At 50.6% G+C, this 24,457-nt stretch overlaps 3 long non-coding RNA genes and 1 pseudogene across 4 annotated transcripts, besides 5 other annotated features; 2 read left to right on the forward strand and 2 right to left on the reverse strand.

The window, feature by feature from the left end:
- Positions 1 to 3,769: 3,769 nt before the first annotated feature.
- LOC105378899 (uncharacterized) lies at positions 3,770 to 4,874 on the reverse strand. Its single transcript, XR_947699.2, has 2 exons — positions 4,793 to 4,874; positions 3,770 to 4,088 (listed from the first exon to the last, which is right to left on the reverse strand). It is a non-coding gene; the product is annotated as an uncharacterized LOC105378899 (long non-coding RNA).
- A 110-nt stretch (positions 4,875 to 4,984) lies between these two features.
- Positions 4,985 to 5,310, forward strand: LOC105378898 (uncharacterized). Its single transcript, XR_001738181.1, has 2 exons — positions 4,985 to 5,022; positions 5,172 to 5,310. It is a non-coding gene; the product is annotated as an uncharacterized LOC105378898 (long non-coding RNA).
- Positions 8,516 to 9,016: an enhancer, noted in NCBI's record as "H3K4me1 hESC enhancer chr1:111019910-111020410 (GRCh37/hg19 assembly coordinates)". NCBI's record gives its function as "activates a minimal SCP1, AML or CMV promoter by ChIP-STARR-seq in primed H9 embryonic stem cells {active_cell/tissue: H9 hESC(primed)}" and the evidence as "EXISTENCE:reporter gene assay evidence [ECO:0000049][PMID:30033119]".
- Positions 8,516 to 9,517: a biological region, named in NCBI's record as "H3K4me1 hESC enhancers GRCh37_chr1:111019910-111020410 and GRCh37_chr1:111020411-111020911".
- Positions 8,975 to 9,269: a silencer, noted in NCBI's record as "tiled region #9354; K562 Repressive non-DNase unmatched - State 20:ReprD". NCBI's record gives its function as "represses a minimal TATA promoter and a strong SV40 promoter by Sharpr-MPRA in K562 cells {active_cell/tissue: K562}" and the evidence as "EXISTENCE:reporter gene assay evidence [ECO:0000049][PMID:27701403]".
- Positions 9,017 to 9,517: an enhancer, noted in NCBI's record as "H3K4me1 hESC enhancer chr1:111020411-111020911 (GRCh37/hg19 assembly coordinates)". NCBI's record gives its function as "activates a minimal SCP1, AML or CMV promoter by ChIP-STARR-seq in primed H9 embryonic stem cells {active_cell/tissue: H9 hESC(primed)}" and the evidence as "EXISTENCE:reporter gene assay evidence [ECO:0000049][PMID:30033119]".
- CYMP (chymosin, pseudogene) lies at positions 11,994 to 22,497 on the forward strand (annotated as a pseudogene). Its single transcript, NR_003599.2, has 9 exons — positions 11,994 to 12,055; positions 14,003 to 14,153; positions 15,142 to 15,259; positions 16,055 to 16,172; positions 18,114 to 18,313; positions 19,751 to 19,862; positions 20,655 to 20,799; positions 21,400 to 21,498; positions 22,262 to 22,497. The product of NR_003599.2 is annotated as a chymosin, pseudogene (transcript).
- Positions 14,507 to 15,085: an enhancer, noted in NCBI's record as "H3K4me1 hESC enhancer chr1:111025901-111026479 (GRCh37/hg19 assembly coordinates)". NCBI's record gives its function as "activates a minimal SCP1, AML or CMV promoter by ChIP-STARR-seq in primed H9 embryonic stem cells {active_cell/tissue: H9 hESC(primed)}" and the evidence as "EXISTENCE:reporter gene assay evidence [ECO:0000049][PMID:30033119]".
- On the reverse strand, positions 18,908 to 21,486 carry CYMP-AS1 (CYMP antisense RNA 1). Its single transcript, NR_108042.2, has 2 exons — positions 21,364 to 21,486; positions 18,908 to 21,135 (listed from the first exon to the last, which is right to left on the reverse strand). It is a non-coding gene; the product is annotated as a CYMP antisense RNA 1 (long non-coding RNA).
- Positions 22,498 to 24,457: the final 1,960 nt, after the last annotated feature.

Here is a 24,457-nt window from a genome sequence, read left to right on the forward strand (position 1 = left end):
GAAATCCTGGCAACACTGTCTTCTCATCTTGGAGCTGAGTAACGACTTAAGTTCTTTAAGCTTCATTTTTCTCATTTGTAAAATATAGATAATAGCAACCACCCTGCATGCTCTTGGTGATGACTAGATGAGAGGAGAATAATAAGAGCTTGCATTCATCGAGTGCCTGCTGTTGCCAGGCACCTTGCATGGCCTCACTGATCATCACAAAAAACCTACAAGGTAGAAGATGTTTCCAGATGAGGACGCCGAGGCTGGGAGGGATGACTGTCACAAGGGCAGAGCAGGGGCGCTGAGCACACAGTGGGCACTCAGGGACCCAGGGCTGTGTAAGAGACATTGCCAAGGTCGCCTCTACTCCTGAAAACCCCATGATTGAGACCCTGTCCCTCTACTTTTCACAGTGACCAGGCCAGGGAGGAGTGAGTTTTGCAGATGTTCAAAGACAGAACATAAAACCTGAAGGTGTCCCTCTTTATATTCTGAGTTTTCAAAAGGTGCATATTCCATTCATTAGATTATAGTTTATGATATTTGGTTCATAAGAGTATACTGATTTTTATTTACAAGTAAACCTATTTTTTTACTGTGTTGTATATGTGACATAGAAGTTACCATTTTAATCATTTTTAAGGGTATGGTTCAGCAGCATTGAGTAAATTCATGTTCTTGGGCAAACATCACCACCATCCATTTCCAGAAATTTTTCATCTTCCCAAACTGAAACTCTGTACCCATTAAACAATAAATCCCCATTCTCTCCCTGGTCCCAGCTCCTGGAAACCACCATTCTACTTTCTGTCTCTGAATTTGACTCCTCTGTGTGCTTCACATAAGCGGAATCATACAGTATTTGTCTTTTTGTGACTGGCTTATCTCACTTAACATAGCATCTTCAAGATTCATCAATTTTGTAGCACGTGTTAGAATGTCCTTTCTTTTTAAGACTGAATAATATTCATATATATATATACACACACACACACACACACACACACAGACATACACACATATGCCACATTTTGTTTATCCATTCCTCTGTGGATGGACACTTGATCCTACCTTTTGGCTATTGTGCATAATGCTGCTACAAACATGGGTATACAAATATCTTTTTGGAACCCAGCTTTCAATTCATCTGAGTGAACTGAAGAATCCCACAAGTGGAATTATTGAATCATACAGTGTTCTACTTTTAATTTTTTGAGGAATTGCCATACTGTTTTCCATAGTGGCTGCACGATTTCACATGCATACCAGCAATATACAAGGTTTCCAGCTTCTCTAAGTATTTGCTAACACTCGTTTTCTCTCCCTTCCTTCCTTCCCTTCTTCCTTCCCTCCCTCCTTTTCCTTCCTTCCCTCCTCCCTTCCCTTCCTTCTTCCCCTATTCCCTTCTTTTGATAGCAGCCATCCTAATGTGTGTGATGTGATATCTCATTGTAGTCTTGATTTGTATTTCCCTAATAATTAGTGATGTTGAGCATATTTTAATACGTTTCTTGGCCATTTGTATCTCTTCTTTGAAGAAATCACTTCTATTCAAGTCATTGGCCCATTTAAAAATCAAGTTATGGCTGGGCGTGGTGGCTCATGCCTGTAATCCCAGCACTTTGGGAGGCCGAGGTGGGTGGATCATGAGGTCATGAGTTCAAGACCAGCCTGGCCAAGATGGTGAAACCCCGTCTACTAAAAATACAAAAATGAGCCGAGTGTGGTGGCGGGTGCCTGTAATCCCAGCTACTCGGGAAGCTGAGGCAGGAGAATCACTTGAACCTGGGAGGTGGAGGTTGCAGTGAGTTGAGATCACGTCATTGCACTCCAGCCTGGGCGATAGAGCAAGACTCTGTCTCAAAAAAAAAAAAAAAAAAAGGGAAAAAGAATAAATCAAGTTATTTGTTTTTTGTAGAAGTTCTTTACATATTCTGGATATTAGCCCCTATCAGATATATGATTTGCAAACATTTTCCCCCATTCCATGGGTTGCCTTTTCACTTCGTTGATGTGTGTCATTTCATGCACAAAGGTTTTAAGTTTTGATGTAGTCCCATTTATCTATTTTTCCCTTTGTTTCTTGTGCTTTTGGTGTCATATCAAGGAGACCTCACCAAATCTAATATTATGAAGATCTTAAACATTAAATTTTGAACCAGTTTTCCTTCCCAACTACTAAGCGATTCCTTACAACTTTCTTTCTTTCTTTCGAGACAGGGTCTTGCTCTGTTGCCCAGGCTGGAGCGCAGTGGTGCTATCTTGGCTCACTGCAGCCTCTACTTCCCTGGCTCAAGCAATCCTCCCTCAGCCTCAGCCTCCTGAGTAGCTGGGATTACAGGCATGCACCACCACCCCTGGCTAATTTTTGTATTTTTTTCTGGAGACAGGGTCTCACCATGTTGCCCAGGCTGGTCTTGAACTCCTGGGCTCAAGTGATCCACCTGCCTCTGCCTCTGGAAGTGGTAGGATTACAGGTATGAGCCACAGTGCCCAGCACAAACTGTATTTACAAAGCAAATCAATCACGATCTCAAGATGTGTGACCTGGTGCTAATGCCTCATTGTCCTGCAGAGGGCTCGTGTTCTGTATGTCCATCTTCGTCATCCCATTTTAGGACTGCCCTGTCCAGTCTTGGTGCCTAGGTATTGTGTGGTGGTGGGGACAGAGCTGGAAGGGACCTGTTTCCTACCAGAGAAACTTCTCACCCCATCCTCCTCTCTCCCACTCTGCTTTCCTCTTCTTTTTACCTCCCTACCTGAAAAATACTCTGAAATGGGATTTAGGACCTGTCTGCTAACCCCACTTCCCTGCAGCCCCCAGTGAATTTGGATCCATTTGCCTGTTTCCCGGGGCAGGGCCCTAGGCTGTGAGTAACCGGCTCTCTCCCTGTCTAGTTTCCACCTTCTTCCTCTGGACATGCGGGGTGGCATGTGTCAAATTTATAAATATGGTTTTGGAGAGGCCTTTGGATTATCTCAATCTTTAAAATCTTTTTATTTAGACATAATTTCAAACTTGCAGAAAGAGTTCTTACATACCTTAACCCAAATATCAGAAATGTTGACACCTCACCACATTTGCATTATTTTTCTGTCCGCTATTCCTCCCTCTCCCCTTCCCCTCTGCTTTTCTCTCTCTCACTCTCTCTAGGTATTAAAATATATATTATATTATATAATATGTAATATATTTATATATTTTATGTATAAAAATAAAACTTAAATATATATAAAATATATAATTATTGATATTTAATACATAAGTATAAAGAAAACACATAGCTATATAAATTATATAGAACATATATGTATGTTTTTCTTCCCCTGGATCTTTTAGGAAGCAAGTTGCAGACATAATACTCTTTTTTTTTTTGAGACGAAGTTTTGCTCTTGTTGTCCAGGCTGGAGTGCAATGGCGCGATCTCGGCTCACTGCAACCTCCACCTCCTGGGTTCAATCAATTCTCCTGCCTCAGCCTTCCAAGTAGCTGGGATTACAGGCACCCACCACCACGCCTGGCTAATTTTGTATTTTTAGTAGAGACCGGGTTTCACCATGTTGGCCAGGCTGGCCTTGAACTCCTGACCTCAAGTGATCCACCTGCCTCAGCCTCCTAAAGTGCTGGGATTACAGGCGTGAGCCACTGTGCCCGGCCTGACATAATACTCTTTACTTCAGTATTCCCCCCAAATCAAGGACATTTTCTTGTAAATATTAACATGAAAATTGGTACAAATATCGAAGTCAGGAAATTAATATCAGAACAATACTATCATCTGATGTAGACTATTTTGCCAATTGTCCTAATCATGCCCTTTACAGCAAAAGGAACATTGTTTTGGATTCTCTCTTGACACACAGGCAAGGGTGGGCTAGAGCCATGGCCAGCAGCCAGGAGGCTGGGTAGCCTCGGTCTTCCTCCCCGTGGTGGAGTCCAGTGGAGGCTCTACACCGCACCCTGGGCGAGAGAGAAAAGCCTGCCTGGTCCCGCCGGCGGCTGCCCAGGAGGAAAGTAGCCTTCATCCCCTGCTTTCCACTCGGCACCTTCTCTGCTTCCAGACATCTGCCCCCATCTCCACGGTGCCTGCTGGGCACTGTAGCAACAAAAATGCAAGTGTCAGCTCCGGCTTTGTGTTGTCACCATCCAGGGCCCTCATTCTAGAGTCATGCTACCTGAGTCTGAATCCTGGGCCTGCCCCTTACTGACTGTGTGATCTTGGGCAGGTTATTGAACTGATCTGTGCTTCGGTTCCCTTAAAATGAGACAGATAGTACCTCATTTACAGGATTGTGGTGGTGTGTGGCTGGGAAGAAGTGATTTTATACATGTAAAGGGCTTAGGATGCTGCCTGGTCAGTGGCCATGCTTGCCAACATTCATTGTTATGTGATCAAGCTTGATGCTTTGCTGAGGGGGCAGCTGGATCTCTCCTCACCACTTCCCAAATTAGCTTGAAATGTTAGTGGCAGGAGCATCATGAAACTGATGTCTAGTCCTCTAGTTGGGAGCATCAAAGAGGGTCCAGACTAGGGGGAGGAGGATCTCCCAGGGGTCATCTCATCTCTCACTCTGTATCTAAGTCAGCATCTCAGTGTTACCTTGATCAGTGCAGCACCTGTCAGCTGAGTTTCCCGGCTAGATCTGCCTAGGGATGTGCTAGATGCTCCCCAGGACTAGCCCCATTATATCCCTTCTAGCCAGCTGTTCTGAAATTTATACCTGGGGTTTGTTTTAATTAGGTATGGTAGGACATGCAGACATGGACATGATTGTCATGAAGGAAGAAGTTTATACTTACAGACCCCTAGACATAGGAGGCATGTAGGGCCACATTGGGAAGCACTGGGGTCAGTCAGGAGGTGGAGGTTGGGGGGGAGTTGTCTGGGGTGGTCAAGGGAAAGGAAATTGTGACATAGAGCCTTTATTGCATTATTACATGAAGGAATGGGTGACACAGGGTAGGTATTCTGAGTAAGCTTAGAATTGTATAGTTTGAGTAATTTCAGCGGACTCTGGGCTGGAGGAGTGGTATTTGACCCTGGGGTGGTTTAGGGCAGGGAGAAAATTGGCTTGCTTTTTGAGAGTTTGATAAAGGAGAGGGTTGGGGGTGTGGGCTGTGGGTGGGTTGGTTCGTATATCAAAGACAGGCTCACAGGGGAGTCTTTCGCCATGCCTAGGAATTAGCTAGTCCTGTGAGGGCAGTCTCTCAAGGATCAAGGCCCCAGATGCCAGAGCATCAAGAATATGGAAAATCAGAGAACATGATCAATATACCAGCTCATCCCTGGATGAAGCTCCCTGCCTTTCCTCATACAGGCGAGTGCTCTACTCTCCCTTCCCCAGTAGCACTGGTCCGTAAGCCAAGGAAAGGACTCATGCATTGAATTATACTTAGTTGCCTACACGTCTGTGTGTTCCACTGGACTACAAGCTCCCTGAGGGCAGGGAGAGGAGCTTACTCACCTCTACATGCTCAGTGCTTGGCACAAGGGCCAGGTGACCTCATTGGCAGAGGAGGAGGTGTTGCTGTGGTGGGCCACAGGCCACTGACTGTCCATATGTGGGTCACGTGGGCACTTACTCCCTGATTTCAGCCACTGGAGACCTCTTTTGGGAAGGAAGTCCCATGGCCTCATTTGCTTACTTCTGTATATAGCTGTTGAGTGAATGGGAGGATGAATTTAACATTTACTGAGTGCTTATTTTAGGTCAGGCATTGTTCTAGGTGTTTAGAGTTACAGAGAAAATTCAGACAAAATTCCTGCCCTAGAGTTCTTAGTCCAGAGGGAGGCTGATGTGTAAGCCATCACTGAGCAGTGAGATAAGCACTCTGAGAACATCCCAGACCGAGGAGCAAACTGCGCTGGTGGTGGAGTGGGTGGTTACTGCAGACAATGTGGGTGGGCTCAACAGAACCTGATTGTCTGCTTCCACTATACAGACAAAAAAGTGCAATCCTCAATTTTCCGGCCTACCTTGTAGCTGGGAGCTATAAAATGAAGTTCATCAGGCATGAGCGGTCTGCTGGTACTGCTTCTTCCCGCTTCCCCTTCTTCTTGCTTTGGGATGGGATGCGATGTTTGCTGCTGTAACAGCCATTTGCAGCCATAAGGAAAAGGCCAAATGAATTGCAGTGGTGTCCATTGAACCAATTCTGTATTTTTCTGGACTTCTTGTTTTGTGAGAAAAATAAACTGCTATTTAAACCACTGTAGTCAGATTTTCAATTACTTGCAGCCAAACCCATTCCTAATTGATCTCATAGGAGATATAAGAAAAGGCTTCACACAGGACATATCATTTTCTAAAATTATTTCTTTATTTATTTACAACAGAGATGGGGTCTCATTATATTTCTCAGGCTGGTCTTGAACTCCTGGGCTCAAGTGATCCTCCTGCCTCAGTCTCTCAAATTGTTGGGATTACAGATGTGAGCCACTGAGCCCATGCCCAGCCCATAGGACATATCTTTTGAGCAGAATCTTGAAGAAGATGGGTAGGCAGAAAATAGAGAGAAGGGCATTTGGGCAGAGGTATAGCATAGGTAAAAGCACAGTGAGGGGAGAAGTTGCATGTCACGTTGAAACACATCAAAAAGTATTAGGTAAGTTTCTCCAAGATGGAGAGAGGTGGGGAGGGTGTTCCAATCTCAATGAAGCACTGAGCAGAGTGTGGAGACAGGATCATGCATGTCATGATTGAGGCATGGTGAGTGTTTGTGCCTGGTTCCTGTTTGGGAAGCTGCAGAGATGAGGCTGGGAAAGTGGATGGGGCCAGACTCCTGGTGGTCAGGAGCTTGGTCTGCAGGTCTCTGCTGGTAAAGGCTCCTGAACTGGGAGTGGCCTGATGAGGTCCTGGTTGACCAGCCTATGGGCTTCTGTCTGCTGGGTGCCGCCCTCCCTGCCCAGAGGCCTGCATGGTAGTTGTGGTAATTGCCTCTTCTCCTTCCTTCTATCCCCCTCTCCCTTCCCATTCAGGAACCAGGAATAGGTTTCACTATTGCTGTTTCTCAGAACTAATAATATGCTCTTCCATGAGCAGGGTGGGGCCCACGCCCCATTCTTTCTCCCAAGAGGACCTGGCAATTCCATCATGCATTGGGCAGAGGTTTCCAGGACTCAGGCCACTTAATGCAGAACAAATAACTGTGCAGGTATGGAGGCTGGGAGTTATTCTCACCTAAATGTTCTGCTGACCTCAGCACGTGGACGGGCCATTACACCACGCACAGTGGCCATTTTGTGGGGAGGAAGAAGAAGGGTGGGGATTTCTACAAATGTGCGGGGCGACGTTTGTTAGGTCTCCACCTCCTGGGGTCTCTTCCACTTGAGCAATTGCTCTCTATTTGTCCTACAGCAAATGCCCCAGGGCCCCTTAGTCTTCTTCAGGCTCTGGGGCTTTTCAAGTGTGGACATGATTCAGTCATCTTTTGCTGAATTGCAGAATTCTAAAAATTCTAAAAAGTGTTTAGAAAAGCCACGATAAGATTTCATCACTGGTTACCTGGTGCTGGAGGGGGATGACTCCCCTTGGTCTAGATTCCTTGAGCCTGGGGACTGACCCACAAAGTGGCTATAACAAATCAGTGCCCAGGGACACCCTGTTTTGTTAGCAGTGGTAGTTATCTGTACAGGTCTGCAGCAACCTCAATTCTTGTCTACCCAGAAAAAAGAATTCAAGTGAGGGGCAAAAGAGCAGAAGGAGAGACCAAGGCAGTTTTAGAGTAGGAGTGAAAGTTTATTAAAAAGCTTTAGTGCCGTAAGGAAAGGAAGGAAAGTACTCTTGGAAGAGGGCCAAACAGGCGACTTGAGACCAAGTGCGTGGCTTGACCTCGTGACTCGGGGTTTTATACATTGGCATACTTCTGGGATCTTGCATTATTTCTCCCGACTCCTGAGATCTTATTGGGAAGCTGCTGATCACCAGTTCCAGGTGTTTTCTATCTACTAGGAGACTGCCTTTTGCTGGTGCTGGCTGTGACCAATTATTACTTTAGAGAGACAGTTAACAACCGCCTGACCATCACCTGATGGTCACCAAACACTCCTGACGTGTGTGTGGAGAGTCTTCTGCTGTACTCATACATGGCTAGCTACCTACTGTAACACCTTGACATAAGCGTCTGATCTCCACTCAGATATGAGCATCAATAAAGATAATTCAAGTCAATTTATTGAGCATCTTCTATGCATTTGCTATGGACACAGAGACTAGGGAGCCCACCATCGGATGGGAGATGGAAGGATCTAATGTGTGACCCCACTGTGAAAAGTACTTCAGGAGGAAGTCCAAAGGGATGATGCCGCATGCTGGAGGGGGCCAGGTGGCAGGGGAGTATAGCCCCTGGGAGTGCATGTGTGACCATCCTGGGCTCAAGTCCTGGGTTGACTGCAAAGCGGTGTGACCTTGAGCAAGTTACTTCTCCATGTCTCATTTTCCTCTTCCAAAGGCTTGAGGCAGAGATACTGAGAGGGTCATGTAAGGATCAAAGATAAGAGTATCAAGTGCTGGCATGTGTTTGGCTTTCTACAAATGTGACTCACAGATGACTACAGTTGTGTGACTCTGAATGACTCAGTTCAATCCCTGGTTCTATTTCCTTATCTGTAAAATGTGAGATTTACAAGCTCATGGTGCTAGTCCAAATCTCAGGTGTGCACAGAGCAGCAGGTCTTTTCGTTTTCTGTAAATCAGTTGAATTTCTGCAGTGTGCCCCCATCTTTCAAGAGCACAGAAAGAGGTGGCTGAGTCTGGCATCCAGGGCCATTGTCCAGGAGAGTTCGCTGCTGAGTCAGGCTGGTGGTGCATCCCTCCCTTCCTCCCCCACTGGCCCTCCTGCCTATCCCTGCCTTCCTCCCTAAGGTTGAGAGGAAAATTAATCTTGGTCATTTTTGTCAATGCCCCATTGTTGTGCTTTGATCCAGGTGACTCTCCAGCATGCCAGGTCTTTCTTGTCCCTGCCCCAGCCCCCGTTGCTTCCATGCCCTGTCTGGGCCAACCTAATCTTCTGGAAGCTGCCTTAGTCATATTCCCCCAGACAGGCCACACAGCCACCCTTCTCTGGGCTTGCCACTTCCCGGGGCTACCACCAGGGAGCAGGGCTCAAGGCCCTGCCACTTGAGGCCTGCCTGTCTCTCTTGCTTCTTCCTTCTGCATCCTCCAGGGAGCCTTGGGTTCTCATATGGGCTTAGGTTTCAGGCAACAGTGCCCTGAAAACACTGCAGGTGACTTCTGTTTCTGCTCTGCACACACCTTTTGTGAGGCAAAGAAAGGCAGAGCAGGCTTTTCCTTTCATGAGATAAAGAGAAAGCAGAAAACAGACTTTCTACATACGTAACACTCTCAGAATATTATTCAGCCCACTAAAAATCTATAATATTTATGGTATATTTACTTAGTGTCAGACACTATGCATTTACTCCTTTAAAAATCTCCATTTCACAGGTGAGCAAACAGAAGTTTAGAATGCTTAACTAAGTTTCCAAGGCACCCAGCTAATAAAAAGTGGAGCTGGAATATAAACTTGGGTCTCTTTGACTCTTTTTAATTCTATCACATGACCTACCCTCCACCCTAAAAGCTTTTTGCAGTTCTTGGCCTGCCGGGATAAGCTCTCCTAATGCTTCATGCCCTCTGGGTCAGGGTTCCTAATAGTGTGTACTTGAATGCTGTTAGACTGACTCCAATCTTGTGAACAAACACAGAGCAACCAGTGCTAAGGGATCTTTGATTCTTGGCTTTGAGAGTCACCTTCCAGTGGAAGAGTTGGCTGAGCCTGATGTCCAGGGTCATTGTTCAGGAGACTTTGTTGCTGGGTTCAGGTTGGATCACTGGTGACACGAGGCAAAGTGGTGCAGCCCTTCTTCCTCCTGATCTTGCTAATCCCAGAGAGCCCTAGCCCTAGATGCGGCAGACAGGGCCCATTGCACATGGATATTACTATCCTGAGGGGTGCCAAGAGGTGGGGAGGAGTGAGCTTGAAGCAGAGCTGCCTCCACACCTGATTTTGTAAACAACTGGGCCCTGTGGTGTAGTGTGCATTGTGTTAGACTAGGAGTCTCAGGATAGTTCCAAGCTCTGTCTTCATTACAGGCCAACCCTTTGACCTCTCTGAGCCTCCATCTCCTTGTCTGCAGGATATCATAAGGATGTCACTTGCTACTTCTCTGGCTGCTTCTCAAAAGTAGTGGCAAGGCCATGCACTCATTCATTTGCTTAACCAAACATTCCTTGAGCACCTACTATGCATTACGCTTGGTGCTGTGTGGCAGGAAGCACTGCTCAGAGGCAGGGCCATCAGCATGGGGCAGGGCGCAGCGCCTGGCAGGGCGGCCACCTCAGGGAAGAAATCAGGAAGCAAGTTGTGCTATTTAGCGTTGACTTTGATTTCTGCTCCCGGCATCTGGGGAGGGTGGGTGCCACAAGACAGCTGGATGTGTTTGTGGCCACTTCCCAGGGCATGAGGAGCGGCAGTGTCCTGGCCTTTTGGGGACCTGGCCTTCGGCTTTGTGAAGGGATGCGGCAGGGTGGGAGGCATTGCCATGGTGGGGATCAGATCTCACCACATTCCTCATTCTGTTACAAAACATCAGTTCTCTTTACTGGCCTTCTGAGGCTCCCTCCTGAGGTTCCCTCCTGAGGCCCCTGCAAATCAAATGTATGCAACTCCAGAGCCTGTCCCTCTCCATGGCACCGGTGTTTCTGCTGCCACCACATGCCAGCCTCTTTGGCTGCTCCTGCCTACCCTTTCTTACATCCCCACCAGGCCTCCTTCTCCACGTGGACATCTGTCCTGCCAGGCATTGGGCAGCTGGCACTCCCACTCTCCCATGGACCTGAAGCCCTTGCCTTCCTATTTTGCCCACCTTACCCTTACACAGTCCTGATTTGCCAGCGTTAGCCTCCCCTGGTCCTTGGAACATGATCTTCTCCACCAGCTTCATGGCCACATCCTTTGTTTTCCTTCTTATCCTGACTCTCTCTCTGGCTACAAGCCTCAGAGAATCTCTGGCCTAGACTCCAGGGGCCTCTACTCAACACATCCCCTGCACATGTGCTTCTGAGGCGCTGTCTCTGTACACTCCAATGGGACTCAGAGGCTGAGTCCTGGCCTAAGCTGTTCCCTACCGTATCACTGCCATATTTCCCTTCTTCTTCTATGTGGGGGCACTTGTCTGCCTTCCTGGTTCAGCCCTGCCCCGTTCTTCCAATGCCAGTGTGATCTGGCATCGATTTACCCCTCCCCTCCTCAGCACCCTTCCACCGTGGAACAGGGCCTATGTCCCTAGGGGTGCATGTGCCTTGGGCCTGCCTTCTCTCTTAGACTGTGCTCTGTAGGAGTGGAGGGCACACCTGCTCTGTGCTCTAAACCCCAAGCTCCACTCACGGGGATGACAGAATGAACAATTCCTCTCTGCCGCAGATGCCACTTTGAGGGAAGACCGAGTACCCCTGCCACTAGAAAATTGGGCTGGGGGCAGATTCATGGATAGGGCAGGCTATCAGCTTCCAGTGGAGTCAGATCACGGGAGGGGAGGCAGATAAGGTTGGAGTGGGATCTGTGGGGAACAGGCCTCTTACAGTGCATAAGGTGGAACATGGAACACATTTCTGGCAGTGCCTCCCCTGTGTTGGCTCGAGAAGTCCCGTCTGCAAGTGGGGAGCAGGTCAGAGAGGCCTATGTTGACATTTCTCAGGCTGAAGACCAGGCATGTATATCCTTCAACTTTGAAGTCCCTGGAATACAGATATTCTGAGACAACACTCAGGATACCTAAGCCCCATGCTGATAAGGGCCACAGATGGCCTCACTCGGTGTGAGTGGTCCTTATCAGCATGGGTCTTAGGTATCCTGAGTGTTGTCTCACTGTATTTGTGGAGTGACCTACAGTCAGGAGCTATCTCTGAAGTCTGGGCTTCCAGCCACAGGACACCTGGCTCCCTCTATAAAGGCTGTGGAGTGGGCTCTGGCTGGAGCAGTGGCCAGTCTGCAGTCCAGGATGAGGGGCCTTGTGGTATTCCTTGCAGTCTTTGCTCTCTCTGAGGTCAATGCCATCACCAGGTGAGTGTCAGAGCCCAGGGGAGGGCAAGGGCATCTCATCGTCCTCTCTGGGAGGTCTGTCCTTGGTCTTCCAGCCATTGGTCCCCCAGGGAGTCTTGGGAGAAGTGCTGCAAGTTCCCAGGGTAACAGCTCCCTGTCAGTCTTGCCTTTGCATGCTGGGACCTTTGCTTCTGTTTACCCCAGCACTTCACAGTGTGGTGAAAAGAACAGGGAGCCAGATGGGCAACTGGGAGGATAGGGCATGGCTCTGGAGTCAAACTACCTGGGGTTTGATCCCCAGCTCCATCACTAACTTAACTCTCTGTGCCTCAGTTTCCTCCTCTGTTCATAAAATTTGAATAATGGTAGTGTCCATCTCATAGGGATGTTGTGAGGATTATAGGAGTTAATATTTAAAAAATGCTTCAAACGATGCACACTGTAAGAGCTATGTATGCATTTGTTAAACAAAATAAAGTTCCCTATTGTACTAATCCTTTGTGGGTGAAGATCTCAGGTTCTCCTCCCAAAGTAATAACTGACATTGATTGAGCTGTTTGCTCCTAGGTGCTAGGCACTCCACTAAGCCACTAATCCTCATGGATTAAGTACATATTATCATTTGCAATTTACAGATGAGACACTGTTGTTTAGGAAGGGTTCCTAAGGAGGGTCCCTGAGCTGTCCGAGGCTGCATGGCTAGTAATGGAGGAGCTAGGACTTGGCCTCCGTGGATTTGCACTCTTGCCATCACATCACGTGGTAATCTACAGGTGCTCAGGTTTGAGTCTGGTCAAGCCCTGAGCACAGAGAAGCCCCGATTACTCCCTGGGAAAGCTGGATCCCAGAAAAGGGGTCAGGGTGCTTTCAACTGGCCCGGAATCTTTGTGGCAGTCCTGAAAATAAAGTTCCTCCAGGTCCCAGGTGCGCTATCTGCCCCAGCACTTGGGATGTGAACAGCCTGCGAAAATCCATTCTCTCTGTGAGTTTTAACACTGCTGCCATTTATGGCTCTCAAAGCACATCTCAACAGTCTCACAGAGGAGGACCACGTGATTCTTAGAGGTAAAAGGGACTGTGGGAATCACTGAGTTCTACTTCTGTCTATAGGAGAGGAAACTAAGGACCAGAGAGGTTAAGCCATAGGGCTAGTCAAACGCAGGGCCAGGAGAATGGCTGGAAAGGAAGGGGTTAACCTAAGGGAGTTGAAACTCAGAGGGCTTTGGGGAGCCACCCAAGTTGACACAGACAGGGCAGTGCCAGGTCTAGAACCAGTTTCTGCATTTCCTCTCTTGATCTCTTCACTGTTGATCTGCCTCCATCATCTAAAACTCGAGCTCCCTCAGGAGGCCCCTGTGAGACCAGGCTCTGTGCTGAGAAACCGTTTGAGAATTTTCCACTCGTCTTAGGGAAAAAGCTATCCAGAGAGCGGAGAAAGGGTATTGACAGAGGGCAGGATCATTGTCGTAGCATTTGTCAGCTTGTGGGAGACACCGTTTTTCACTGCAGACAGTGGGCTCCCGGCGGGCAGAGACGGTGTCCTTTCCAGTGTTGTGTCCCCTGTGCCCTGTACAGTATCTGGCACAGCAAGAATTTGGTGACTGAATGAGTGATAATGTGCTTAGTGCTTTTCAAACCACGGGTTTCGAAACTTATTAGTGGGTTGCAAAATGCCTCTAATGGGTCTCCACCAGCATTAGAAAAAGAGAAAGCAATATAAAATATGAGAGTGCATTGCAGTTAGCAAGGATAGGCATTGATTTTTGAACCGATATAAAATACATTTCTTACTTTGAGTTATGATTTAAAAAAAGTTTGAAAGCCCTTGACCTGGGGTCAGTGGGCCATTGATCAGAAGGCTGGCTGGGAACAGAGTGTACCGAGTGGTTTATGGAGCCCACTTCTGGGAGGCTGGGCAGCCTGCGGGAGATGCACACCCTCCTTACAAATTCTTCCCCATCTCCTCAGGGTTCCTCTGCACAAAGGGAAGTCGCTGAGGAGGGCCCTGAAGGAGCGCAGGCTCCTGGAGGACTTCCTGAGGAATCACCATTATGCAGTCAGCAGGAAGCACTCCAGCTCTGGGGTGGTGGCCAGCGAGTCTCTGACCAACTACCTGGATGTGAGTGGCTCTGCCAGCCTTTCCACTAACGAAGTGGAAAGCGCCCCTCGGCCCCTGCCTCACCACAGCTGTTTCTCTTCGAGAAATCTTGGAGTCTGTGGTAGAGGCAGTCTCCCTGCCCTCAGTCAGCTCCACGAGGGGCTGGTCGACCCAGAAAAGACAGTGCTCCTGCCTGCCAGCTCTGAATGCCACCACCAGGAGGGTCTGAGCTCAGGCGCCTTCCTCACACAACATCCCCCAAGAGTGCATGAACTGCCCCCCTCCCCAACGCCGCCTACCATCCCAACCCTGCACCTGCCTTCCGGGCTGGGGAAGTTCTGTCTTAGTCTGGCTCAGCAGGGATGGAGACAGCGGGTGCCATTCTGCAGCTGCCCAGGACGCGGCTGCCAGCTTGCTCTTCCTCCCACCCAGGACCCAGGCAGGAGCGCCCCTGGTACCTGTTCTTTCCTGGAGCTTGTCTTTCTCTCAGCCGTCACTCTTGCCAGTAAACAACCAGCCTTTTTTCTCTTCTGTGCTCTCATTTTCTTATCTAGGTCATCTTCGCCACCCGCCCCCAGCCTCTGCTCTGACAGTGGGGAGAGCTGGCGAGGAGGCGCGCGTGGCAGGGGCCACTTGGGCCGGAACATGGAGCCCACACCTAGCTGATGCCCCACCTCTCTGTCCAGATTCTTTTTGCCCTGGCAGGGGTGGCCCATGTCCCACCCAGGCAGGATTTAAGTTTAGGACCCAGGTCTGCTTCTGAGGCTGATTCCAGCAGTGGTTGTAGGACTTGTGGAAGGATGAGGCCAAGTGTGTCTGGGGGTGGGAGCCCAGGTGAGGGCTGGAGGTCAAGAACCCTCTTCAGTATCTTCCCCCTCCTTGAGACACCCAGGTCTCTGGGCAGAAAGCACAGGGGCTCCACAAGTGCCCCTGCTCCCCGCCCACCGTTAATCCACACCCTCCTGCCCCCTGATGCTCCCACCTCTGACCCAGTGCCGTCTGTCTTCAGTGTCAGTACTTTGGGAAGATCTACATCGGGACCCTTCCCCAGAAGTTCACCTTGGTGTTTGATACAGGCTCCCCGGATATCTGGGTGCCCTCTGTCTACTGCAACAGTGATGCCTGTCGTGAGTGACCGCCCTCTCCTGACCCAGCCCCTCATGCTTGGATGCCCTGGCCTAGTGGCCAGGGTGGTCAGGGTGGCTGGGGGGAAACGTGGGGTGGCAGGACAGCTGGCTCTGACCTTCCCAGCCTCCTAGTTGTGGTCGATCTCCTCACTCATCCTCCCAACTGGCCACAGACTGGGAAGATTTGAAAATCACGGGTTTTAGTTAAAAATTAGGGACCTTTATTTTATTTTTTGTCTCTACTGGGAGCCAAGGCAACCTGCTTACCCTTTTGGATGCTGAATTTTCCTTTCTATAAAATGGGGCTATGATGTGCCAGTGAGTGCTGGGAGAGTAAAGTGAGAAGGTCTATTACAAATAATGAATACATGCTTAACACACATTAATTATTTATTTCTCCACCAATCCTGGGAGATTGGTGCTCTTTTTATCCCCATTTGACAGATGGGGAAATTAAGGTTTGAAGAGGAAAAGGGACTTGGCTAAGATTACTCAGCTGATAAAAGCAAAACATCCACGGAATCTTCAGCGGGGCTTTTCCCTTTCATTTTTGTGTAGAAGCTACGTAGGTAGCACTGAAAGTCAGAGAGGTAGGGCAAGCAACAAAGAATCATGTTCTTTTTTAAACTGTGGGACCAAGGCTTTAGAAAGAATGGGCTGCTTATTCTCTATAGAGAGAATTGCCAGTATTGAGGCCATATTCTTACAAGGCCTGCTGAGGGGTTCGGCCCTGGCTGGCACCGTGAGTGGTGAGAAGATTCTAAGGGCCCCACTAACTCTGGGTCTGTGTTTCAGAAAACCACCAACGCTTCGATCCGTCCAAGTCCTCCACCCACAGAACATGGGCAAGTCCCTGTCCATCCAGTATGGCACAGGCAGCATGCGGGGCTTGCTGGGCTATGACACTGTCACCGTAAGTGGTGCTGCGCCGGCCAGTGCTCACTGTGCCTTTCCCACCAGCCACTCTCTGCCCACACGGTCCGGTGGGCCACACCTCCACTGTGCTGAGAAGCCCTTTAGGTGCTGCCTGCCCTGGTGGCTCAGGAGGTAAGGAGAGGGATTTTAGCCAGCAGCCAGCTGTCGGCTGTCCCTTCCTCCCGCCTCTTCTTCCTGTGGCAGCACCCAGAGCCCCACCTGAGGGCACTCTCAGGTCCAGGTTCCCGTCTCCCTGATCCTTTTCCATGCATCCTTGACACAGTTAGTTCCGAATTCTGAGCTGGTGCCAGGACTGAGCTCTTCAGTGTCCTATGTATAGTCTTGTTTTTAAATTTTGTTTTTCCAACAGCCCTTTGAGGAAGATGTCATTATCCTCGTTGTTCAAATGAGGAAACCGAGGCTTGTAGTTGATAACTTACCTGAAGTCACACAGCTGGTGCCTGGGGGAGCTGAGTGTGGGACCTCGCCTCTGGCTCTCAGGGCAGTGCTCTTGGTTTGACCTCATGCTTTATAAGTCAGAGCAGCATCTTCTTTCAGGTCCGAGAGCACCTGTCCCTCTAGGATAAGGGTTCCCCTTTCCCTTGACTCTTTTTGGCCTCCAAAGTACCTAATACAGTGATGGGCACATAGTAGGTACCCAGTGGATGTTTGCCTCTTTCTTTCTTTCTGCATGCACCATCTGACGTGAAAACTCTGGTGGTGTCTCTCAGTGCTGACCACCTTGACTTTCCTTGGTCTCTTCCTTGGGTCTGGCTGAAACCTTTCTTGCTTTGAGTCCAGAAGGGCACAGTCCTTCTCTGTGGACAGTATTTTCCTCACTGGGCAGGTGCCCACCAGGGTGCTCTGCTCAGGCCTCCTCGGGATTCCATGCCAGACAGCAGAGGCCTCAGGGCTGCTTGCTGAGCTGGCCAGCAGTCAGGCCTTTGACAGCCAATTCCCCTGCCCAGTCCTATTTCCTCTGCTGGCCTGAGCCATTCACTTTCTTCCCTGCTATTTTCAGTGCATCTTCACTGGAGAGCTGGCCCAGTGCCTGGAACCTCAGCAGTGCTGCAGTGGGCTGCTATCACTCACTACCTTGGGCAGGGGGTCGGGGAAAGCTTCCCTCAGGGGTCTCATGTGGAAGCAGGAGAGGTGTCCTGACCACTTTGGGACAAGAGGCAGTAGTGGTCAGAGTAGGCTGGTGGATACATTGGGCATCTGAAGAAGTGGGCAGATTAAGAAAATATTTTGGAGTTAGCACTTTCTTAGCATAGTGCTGATCCATATTCAATAATCACTTAGTAAATGTCAATAAATGTTCAGTGTTAGTATTATTTAGTCAAAGCCCTGCCTTGAGATGTGAGATGTAGGTATTACTATTCCCTTAAACAGATAAGGGGATTGAGGTTGGGCAGGTACTTGTCCAAGGTCACACAGTTAGCACATGGCAGAACAGGAGCCTACACCTGGGTCTTGGAGACATAAAGCGTGTGCATGTTCTTTTTGGACTTCCTGCTGCTTCTATGGCTTTTTGCTGGGAGGTGTTCCAGACATAGCTGGTGGGAGGGCTGCAGGCCTGCAGAGGGCCTTGGAGCATCCCTCATTCTGCCCCCTTCTTTGAGCTCAGTCCCAACTTTTGCACAATGAGCACCAGGGTCTGTGTCCACCTTGTCCTCTGTTCCCCTCCTCCCCTGCCTCATTAGAACAATTCCTCAAGATCATTGCACTAACTGCCGGGAAAGGAGAGGTGGGTTTTTTTTGTTGCTGTTTTTTGTTTTTGTTTTTTTCTGTCTCTTAAGGGCAAATAACTATGTTGCCTATAAGAGGAAAGGAACTGGAACTGCGATACTGGCTCCTGACCTGGGACTGGCTGCCCTCATGCCTGGGATGTTTCTGTCTCTGGCTGCAGGACCTAGTGGAGGTCATGATTCTCTTGCAGGTCTCCAACATTGTGGACCCCCACCAGACTGTGGGTCTGAGCACCCAGGAACCTGGCGACGTCTTCACCTACTCCGAGTTTGATGGGATCCTGGGGCTGGCCTATCCCTCTCTTGCCTCTGAGTAGTCAGTGCCAGTGTTTGACAACACGATGCAGAGGCACCTGGTGGCCCAAGACCTGTTCTCAGTCTACATGAGTAGGTAAGAGCTGTGCCCAGCCGGGGCCTAAGTTTGATGTCCTTGTAAGGACTGTCCACTCCTTGGGGACACTCAAGGGTAGTCACCAGCATCCAAGCAAACCTTCTCCTTTCCAGGCACATCCAACCTCTTGTCCAAAGGCCCATGATACAGTCATTTGTACAGCCAGAGTTCACTGGATCAAAATTTGACTTTCCTTTCTGGCACTCAAAAAACAAAGCCCGATTCCACCTCTGCACAGGGGCTTTCAAGTTCTTTTTCCCAAAGTGGCAGGGCCTCAATAACCGTTTGCTAATGTCACTGAGATGCACAGACTTTTAGAGCTGACTCCAAAGGAGTCCAACCTACTCCTTTCACTAGGGAGGAAGCTGAGGCTTGGGGAGGGACCAACACCCTGAGTGGTGGCGGCTGAGCCAGGCCTGGAGCCTGGGGCTCCTGCTCCCAGGCCTGTGCTTCCTACTCTACCTCCCTGCACCCCGTGATGATGCAGCTTGGCTCAGAAAGAGGGGAGGATGGCAGGGAGGAGAGAAAGAGACCCTCCCCAGGAGAAGTTGCTGGATGGCCGAGGCAGGAGAATGCAGTTAGGGGGCTAATTAGTGCATTCACTCATGCATTTATTCACCCAGTAGATACTTACTGGGCCCTTACTATGTGCAGAGGCTCTGCCAGAGATGGGGACACATCAGCAGATAAGACAAACTGGCAGTTAACATTTTAGCAGGAGAAGCAGACAGCACACCATTACATACACTATTGTAATCAAACAGTGTGATAAGGGTGCAGCAGGGGAGATTTGGGTGTGTCAGAGGCTGAGTAACAGGGGAAGGCCCAGCCGAGGGCAGCCAGGGCAGTCTTTGCTGAGGGAGGAGTGGGTGCCGTCTGGGGAGAAAGCGTGTACCAGAGCCGGGAGCTGGGATGGGCTGGATGAGTTCTAGGAGCCCAAGGCAGTGCTCCGGAAGTGGGTGGGTACAGTGTGTGTTTCCCAGCCATGTGTGAGACACGGCCCCACGAGGAACAGAGGGGATTTGCGTTTGGGTGGCAGTTTCAATCCAAAGTGTAGATTTTGTTGAAGACCCCCTTTCCTACTAAAGGCAGAAAGCCCTGGGTGGCGGCTGACAGGGAGTAGGAGCCTAGGGAGACAGCTGGGCACACTCAAGGGTGGCTGGGGCACAGCCTGGCAGTCCCAGGACCTGTGGGGTGGGTTACTTCCTCTGGGGTTGGGGTGGGGGCTGCAGCGCTCAGGAGAAAGGATGCTGCCGCTGACTTCAGAGAAAGCCCAGCGGAGGAGGAGCCAGAGGGGGCTGGAGACCTCATCTGAAGCGTGGGGTAGGGGTGGGGCGGAGGAGGGTGGGCTGGATCTCAGTGGTGTCTGCCCCAGGGTGGGGCTGGGCACCGCTTTTCTGAGCCTCGCTGAAACAGCGCGCTGCGCCTTGGTTTCAGGAATGACCAGGGGAGCATGCTCACGCTGAGGGCCATTGATCTGTCGTACTACACAGGCTCCCTGCACTGGATACCCATGACTGCAAGAATACTGGCAGTTCACTGTGGACAGGTGGGTGAGCGGCCACACTGTGTGGGCCTCAGCCAGAGGCTGATCCAGCTGTGGGGATGTGAGGGCCCGGGCGTCAGCCCACCACACTCTGAGGACTGCAGCACAGTAGCTGGTAAGACCACCCATGAGAAGCTGAACTAGACACTTCCAAGGTTGGTGACCTTTGTCGGTGCTAGTGCCACATATTCTACCTGTGCTTTATGAACAAGACCAGCTGCCTTTCTGGGGCATCTACTGCCTGCTAGGCGCTGTGCTGAACGATTATATGACTGTCTCATTTATTCCTCACTGAGACACCATGAGGTGGGTGCTACTATTACCCCACTTTATAATGGACTAACATTGAGTTTGAACCTCAGGACCACCTCTTGAGGAAGTCAAAGAAGGGGTTATTAATGTACCCATTTTGTAGAAGGGAAGCCTGAGTACACAAAGGTTGGGTAACTTGCTGGAGACACACAGCAAGTAAATGGCAGAGCAAAAACTTGAAACCAGATCTCAGGCAACCAGTATGCTACTCGCTCTACTCCTTAATGTGGGTGAATTTGTTGTTTTATTGAAGTTTCTGTCCCATGGAAAGTGGGATGTCCTCAATTTAGCCACTGAATTGGAAGAAAATGGTTTTAGGTTTTTTCTCTGGGCTCAGAAAGTACTGGGGCCTCCAGGAAGGGGCCCCAGGGAAGGGGCTGAGGGCTGGGGGCCTTCCCTCCCTACTGCAGATCCTGGCAGGGGAGGGTAGGAAGGACCTGGGGAGGGAGGGCTGGATGAGGCCATCTTGCATACCTTTGGAAGTGTCATCATTGACGGCGTGGTGGTGGCCTGTGACGGTGGCTGTCAGGCCATCCTGGACACCGGCACCTCCCTGCTGGTGGGGCCTGGCGGCAACATCCTCAACATCCAGCAGGCCATTGGAGCCACTGCGGGCCAGTACAATGAGGTGAGGTCAGGCCCCACCGCCCCACAAGGTTGCCTTGAAGTGGGGGCCCCTTCACACAAACGAGATGATGCAGGGGTGGTTAGGGAGCCCGTTTCCCAGCCGAGGTTGGGGTTTCTCCGGAGGCCTCTGCTGGGGCCTTTGGCTTTGGCTTCATTGCCGTGGGAGCCTCCATGCCTCAGGTAGCGGCTGCCGTCTGACCTCCTGTTCCTCTGGGAGTGGTGCCCTCCCTGACGCGCTGGACTGTGCTGTGCCCCTTCTTCCTCCTCCACCCCCGAGTCTGTTCTTCTCCCCTTGACAGCCAAATGCTCCCAGCATCCCTGTGAGCTCTGGCTGGGCCTAGATGGGGAGACACAGAGGCAACCCCCTTGGGTCCCAAGCTTGGGTCTGTCCCTGGGTTGATGACAGCTATGACTCTTTTGAGAACCATGTCTCAGGACCAGGCCTCACCCTGAGAGCCTCCCTGTGGTCCTAGGTGTAGGCAGGGCCCTCTCCCCACCCCATGGCTCATGGGGTGGCAGGAGGGGTTCTGGGCCCTTCCGGAACCCCTTCAGTCAGCTTACTTACTCGCCGCTTCTAAGAGGGCCTCCCTTGGTTCTTTAGTTTGACATCGACTGCGGGCGCCTGAGCAGCATTCCCACGGCTGTCTTCGAGATCCACGGCAAGAAGTACCCCCTGCCACCCTCCGCCTATACCAGCCAGGTATGAGTCTCAGAGGGGAAGCCCGGGCTCCTCCTCCTCCTTCTTCTTCACCAGCTTCCTCCCCCACCCCCCAGTTGGGCCCCTGGTGAGGCAGTGATGGTGGTGATAAGAAGTGGTATGGACTCCACAGAGAATGGAGGGGCATGCGTTTGGACCAACCGGCCTTTCTGAGTGGGCCATGTTGTCCTGGGGCCTCATTTGTGGCCACTTCAGCCTCATCCTGGGAAAAATGGGGAACAGGAGGGGCGGTGTGCCAAGGTGTCAGGGAGGGTGGGGTAGGCAGGTCCACATCTCCCTATGGGAACCTCCCTCCGCTGCTCAAGCTTCTAAGTCCCGGGGCCTAGAGCTCTGTGCAGGGTTTGCTTAGCTAGCCTGGGCTTTGTGGGGCTCAGCCCTTGGCCCCACTGACCACTGACCTCCACCCCCCAGGCCTGCTCTGGCTGGTCATCAGGGCAGTAGGTGCTGAGAGCAGGAGGCAGGGGCTGGGGAGGACGAGAGATGGGGAGTGGAGTCCAGTGCAGAGGACAGGACTCAGGATGCCAGAACCCCACCCGGTGATCCTAGATTATGTCATTTTATTTTTTGAATCTGAATTTCTTCATCTGTTGAGAGATGAATCCAATACTTGTTTATCTGGGAAGGTCATTTCAAGGATAAAATGACGTCACAGAAGAGGAGGAGTTGTGGGTGAGGTATAAACGCCTATCTTTAGGCACAGCAAATGGGATTGGGACCAGCGTCATCTCTGCCTTGCCTTCCCCAGGACCAGGGCTTCTGCACCAGTGGTTTCCAGGGTGACTATAGTTCCCAGCAGTGGATCCTGGGGAATGTCTTCATCTGGGAGTATTACAGTGTCTTTGACAGGACCAATAACCGTGTGGGGCTGGCGAAGGCTGTCTGATTGCATCACTGGCCATGGACCTCAATGTGACCAAACACACACACGCACATAGATGAGATGTGCAGGCAGATGGTTCCCAATAAACACCGCATTTCTGCAAAGCCTGACTTCCCTTGTTGTCACTGGGGCTGAAGCTCTGCGCCGTTGTGGGGGTGGATGTGACTGCCAGGTGGTGTGTGGGCACAGCAGGAACTACATGGTGGGAAGGGTTGGTGGGTGGAGGCTACCTGGAGGGCAATGACTATTTCAAGCTCAGGTCAGGGAAGACCAAGGCGTGCCTTACCTACCTGTCCTTCACTCTAGAGCTTTCTGGGCAAAGGGCACAAGAGGGGAGACCCTCGCACGATAAGACCCATTTGTTCCTGGGGAATGAGAGGTAAGGGCATGGTGGTGTGGGGATGTAAAGGGAACACTTGGCCCCTGGAGAGGAAGGTTCTGCTGTATTAAGAGAGGGGCCTCAGTGCTGTTGGAAGAAGCCAGATGAAAGAGTGAGCAGGGAGCATGGGGAAAGATCTGAGTCCTAGGCTGCCATCCACCCTGGGGGAGAGCCACAGTCCAGACTCCCATCCTCAGGCTCAGGGGCTCAGGCCCTGGCAGTGGTCAGAGCGGTGCCATTGCCGATGGCAGGTTCGTGTTAACCTGGCTTTCAGAGGCTGATGTGTCAAAGCCAGATGCCAGTGTTCAGAGTTCCTGTGAGTGCCCAGGCTCACAGAGCCCTGCACATTCTCCTGGGAGAGAGCCACGCAGGAAATCCAAATATTACCGGGTCACACAAGGGGATTCAGGTGGCTTTAGGAAGTTTTTCTCAGTGATGCTACTCTAAGGCCCCTCAGCTACCTTGGGAGGGAGGTGGACAGCTCTTGGGGAGATCACAGTGCTTGGAGTCCTCTTGGCAGACTCCTTGGACAGTGCTCTGCTGGGAGCTGCATGCGTCTGCTCTCCAGCCCTCCTCCCTTTTTCTTTGCACCCCCTGCCTTAGATAGTCTTTTTCCCATCGGGGGAAGACAATTGACCAGGCCTTTGTTTTCTATGTCATAGCTAGCCTTGTCCCCTCTGCTTCACCCACCCCAAATATAGTGATCGGACTTTGTCACACCTTTATAGTAGTTCAACCCTCACAAGGCCTTGGGAAGGGGGTGGGGTCATCTTGCTATCTAGCCCCTGCCCCTACCTCAGGCTGACCACGGGCCTGCCCTGCAAACAGCTGGAGCAGGTGAGTAATGCCCATGTCTCCAGGAACCGGAAGCTGCAGGTTTGGCAGTGACACTTCACAAAGGAGACTGTCCTTCATGAGGAGTGAAGCGGGGGGCAGGAGCAGAGTGGGCTCTGGCTTCTTTCTCCCAGTGGCAGCTGCTAATGGGATCCGGTCGACAAGCCATCTGGGGGCATCTCCTGGGGCCTTTCTTAGTGGTACCCAAGAACAAAAGAGATGAGGGACCCAGTCAGTGGAGATGCTGCCTGTGGCGCCTGTCTGGGTTTGCGGCTGTGCAGCCAGCTTGGCCGCAGAGGCAGCCCATGGCTTCCTGCAGGGAAGAGACTGGGCTGTGGGGGTGAAATGGAGCAGGAAGGCTCAAGCTGCCTTTCCTGGGTGAGCCAAGGAGACTGGTGTGGGATGGTGCAGAGGCCACAGGAGAACATCCCAGGACTTCAAGGACAGAGGGTGGTGCCAGCAATGGGCAGGCCTTGGCGTTTGAATCTTACTGGGCCAGCGAGGTAAGCGAGGTGCCAAGGAGTCAGTCTGGCTTTGGGAGGCTTCTCTAAGCCTCGCTGTTCTTATCTAGGACCAATACTGCCTGTTTGCCAAGAACGAGACAGAATTGGGCCACTTTCATTATTTTTACACTTCTTGTGTATTAAAAAAAATGCCAAATAGGCCTACAAAAATGGTTATAGATTTCAATGGTTTACATTTAGCAACTGTATTTTAAACACCCACATCCCAACTGGAGATAATGTAGAAAGTCTAAATATGATGACTTTCACAAATGTGAGGTTTGGACCAAATGGGTCCTGTCTCACCCCCTGCCCAGTTGGCCCTGGTGGTGACCCCTGTCCTGG

This window comes from Homo sapiens, chromosome 1 (genome assembly GCF_000001405.40).
Source record: "Homo sapiens chromosome 1, GRCh38.p14 Primary Assembly".
Taxonomy (NCBI): domain Eukaryota; kingdom Metazoa; phylum Chordata; class Mammalia; order Primates; family Hominidae; genus Homo; species Homo sapiens.